Source organism: Homo sapiens, chromosome 2 (assembly GCF_000001405.40).
Source record: "Homo sapiens chromosome 2, GRCh38.p14 Primary Assembly".
Taxonomy (NCBI): domain Eukaryota; kingdom Metazoa; phylum Chordata; class Mammalia; order Primates; family Hominidae; genus Homo; species Homo sapiens.
In genome coordinates this window covers 120,429,898-120,433,314 of record NC_000002.12, presented here as the reverse complement: position 1 = coordinate 120,433,314, position 3,417 = coordinate 120,429,898, and the positions used below count along the sequence as shown (strand labels likewise).

The following is a 3,417-nucleotide window of genomic DNA, read 5'->3' as shown; positions in this document are numbered from 1 at the left end:
TAAGTGCCCAGGGCCTTTGGTCCTAGGGACAGCTGTGCAGAACGTGGTGGTGCCACAGGCTGCGTGCCCCTGGAAAGGCAGCACGTCCCCTGGGGTAGGGGCAGGGCTACCTGCAGAGCAATCGGAAGTCCCAGCCCCAGGTCCTCCAAGCCTCGCCCTCCCTACTGCAGGCCCAACCACCACCCACCCCCTGACTGCGGGTCCCACAGGCTGCCCTCCTTCCAGGCTGGCCCCATCAGGGAGTAGGGCAGACGCTGCCCTGGAGCTGTGGTGCAAGCGCTGTGTGGCCAGGCCAGGCAGGCCAGAGCCACGAGTGCTCTTGAAGAGTTGTGGCTGTGAAGGGGACACCACCCTGCCAGCCGCCAGCTTTATGAGCCCAGCGTGCTCATTTGGGGCCTGCCGCATTTGGCGGCGACCCTGAGACTTCTAGCTTCACAGCCGCCACTGCCCCACATGCAGACCCAGCCTCCCTCCATTCCTTCCAGATCTCGCGGCCAAAGTGCCAGCTTCCTCGCTCGGCCTAGCACTGGGCTGCAGGCCTGCCCAGCCATGCCAGGGTGCCTGCGACTGCCCCCTTGGATGCAGCCAGCCACTCCTTCCTCAATCAGAGGGCCAGCCTCTCACTTCCTTGACACCTGCTGAGGGCTGGCTCTGCTCCTCCTGGCCCTGGCAGGTAGTGAGTGAGGCAGGGTCGCTCCTGTGCCAGAGCACACATTTGGGTGTGGGGGCACAAGCAAGCCCCCAACATGTTTGCTATTGGTGAGGTCCTCTCGGGGGGGCACACAGCAGAGGCCTGAGGAGGGCTGACGGCCCTCAGGGAGAGCCAGGAGGCAGGCATTCCAGGCAGAGGGAACAGCAGGTGTGAAGGCTCTGGGGTGGCGTGGGGCGGCGTGGCCTGGCGGGCTTGAGCGCCATGAGGAGGTGGCCTGTGTGGCTGCAGCAGAGCAAGCCTGTGGGGGTGGGGGCGGGGGCGTCCCGGGGAGGAGTGGAGCGCAGACAGGGCCCGGGGGAGGAAGGGAGCTCAGAGGGGTGCAGGGCAGAGGAGGTGAGCCCTGGGGGCCGGGTCAGAGCTTGAGACTATATCACACGCAGGGGAGAAGCCACTGGAAGGGACTTCACTCATTCCCACGGGTGAGGATAGGGCAGCAGACCTGTGAACGGATGTTTGAAACAAAATTGTGCCATGATGGAGTTCCTGCCCTGTGCAGGGTTTTCGGCTCTGGTTCTCAGAACCCTCCTGAGCAGTTGGCGCCATGATTTAGGGAGTCACCACATTTACCGATGAGGAAGCCGAGGCTCCACAAGGTGATGGCACATTCCTAAGTTCACGAGTCTTGGGATTTCCCCCAAGACTTTGGGACTTTAGAGCTGCCCCTCAGCAGGCTGAAAGTTCGGGGTGGGGATTTTAGGCTGGGCTGCCCCCGACATGAAGGAGTCCAGGGAGGGAGCTTTCTGCCTCAGAAGTTCAGACCGTCCCCTGCCTCTACCCACACCTTGGACACAGAGACGGGACAAGGAGCCTGGGCCTCGGTTTGACTGTACTCCAAGGTATTTGACCAAGGATGCCTCAGCCTGCCAGTTTTTCTCTGCCAGACCCCAGTGCTGGGAATTGGGGTTCATGATTCCACCTACAGGCTCCCAGAGGCCTCCTGAGCTACTGCCAAGCCCCAGGGTTACAATGGCACAGGGTTCCCTGATGCAGTGCCTGCAGCCCCGGCTGATCTGCACTCTGTGGGCACCACTGCGACCTGGGCACCGCCCATGCAGCCTCCACAGGGACAGGCTAAGTTACAGCAGGTGTAATACTCAAAATGCTTAACACCTGGGACTGTTGCGTAAATTATAATATCCACCTAAAGTTTTAAAATATTTTCCCTTTTATTTGCCAAATACACTATACCGATCACCAAACTGCTTACCCGGTGATGCAAGTTATAACAGATTGCTTGCCAATTCCATCTACATTTCCCTTCACTTGCACCCAGACGTGGTTGGTGAGGCCTTTCATGTCATCGGATAGATGGTGCAAATGTGTGTGCCGTGGTCTGACACAGAGATCCTCATCCAACACTCCCACCACCGTCCCTGTGGTGCCGAGGCTTTACTGAGGGAAGGCTGGATACTGCCCTCAAGCCACACTCTGGTGCCAGAGCTCCTCACATGGCTTTGACCCAGAGCCTGGTCTGGACCCCACTGACATCCCACCACAGGGGCTGCCCCAGCCCCCACCTGCTCCATGGAAGCGGCTAAACACCCCTCACAGCTAGGCTGCCCCTCAGACCCCTCAGTGGCTACAGTCCATTACCTCCCCTGCAGCAGCCTCTGGCAATGTCATTCACTGACTCTGGGATGGATATTCGACAGCCTCTGTGCCCACATGCGAGGAAGTGTTTCACCGCAGTAAGTGAGCATGACCACAACTCAGTCCAGGCACCCTCTCCCCCAACACCCTAGGAGTGGGAAATTTTGCATGACAGGGTTTGTGACCCATGCTGCTGGGCCTCAGGGGATGCCCCAGGGCATCCTAAAAGGAGGGAGGGGACCGGGCTTCGGCAATATCCTGACTTGCCTTCCTCTGTCAGTCCTGGGGTGCTGCCCCCGAGGAGGTCACCCCTTCTGATCAGAGTCACCCGGCTCTGCCATTGCTGCTGCTGCACTGTCCACAGGAGTGGCTGGTGTCTAGACAGCCCCAGGCTGGCCTCCTGAAAAGCCCTGCAGCTCCCCTCTGCCTTCTTGCTGTCTGGGAGGTTGGGATCAGCCATCGGCCAATCTGCTGTAAGGAATCCCAGAGGAGGCAACTGGGAGAGGCTGGAGAGCATCATGCCAGTCTGCCACAGACAGGCAGACTGAATCCCAGAAGGGCACACTCTCTCCTCCAATGTCAGATTTGGAAGTCCTCAAGGGCAACTGAAATGCATCAATGTGCACTGGCTCTGGAGTCAGACAGACCAAGGGCACCCCACTGGCATTTGCTGACTGCGTGGCCTTGGACAGACAAGCATGACTCTTGGAGCTAAAACTTCCTGATTCCTTTCTTTGACAATTTATAATCAGCCCTACTATGTGTCCTGCTGTGTGTACTGGGTTGTGGGGGCACAGCTGTGCACAGATCAATGATAGATGCTCAGATAGAAAAAAAAAAGAAAAAAACAAAGCCCTGTCTTCCTGCTGATTTCCCTCTTGGGGGAGACTGAAAACCACGGCAAACAAATGCAAATGTACTGCAAGGAGTGATGCTTGCCATGGAAAAAAAGGCAAGCAAGGTGATCACAGAGAGTGAGATGAGGCAGGAGGCAGCGAAGTGACAGGAGAGCCTCCGGGGAGGCTCACGTGAGCAGAGTCTTGAACAGTGAGTGCAGGGGCGTGCTGACTGAAGAACAGCAAGGAGCCCTGGGTGGCCTGAGCAGAGACTGCTGG

At 58.4% G+C, this 3,417-nt stretch overlaps 1 annotated feature.

The window, feature by feature from the left end:
* Positions 2,054-3,042: an enhancer, noted in NCBI's record as "H3K4me1 hESC enhancer chr2:121187849-121188837 (GRCh37/hg19 assembly coordinates)". NCBI's record gives its function as "activates a minimal SCP1, AML or CMV promoter by ChIP-STARR-seq in naive H9 embryonic stem cells {active_cell/tissue: H9 hESC(naive)}" and the evidence as "EXISTENCE:reporter gene assay evidence [ECO:0000049][PMID:30033119]".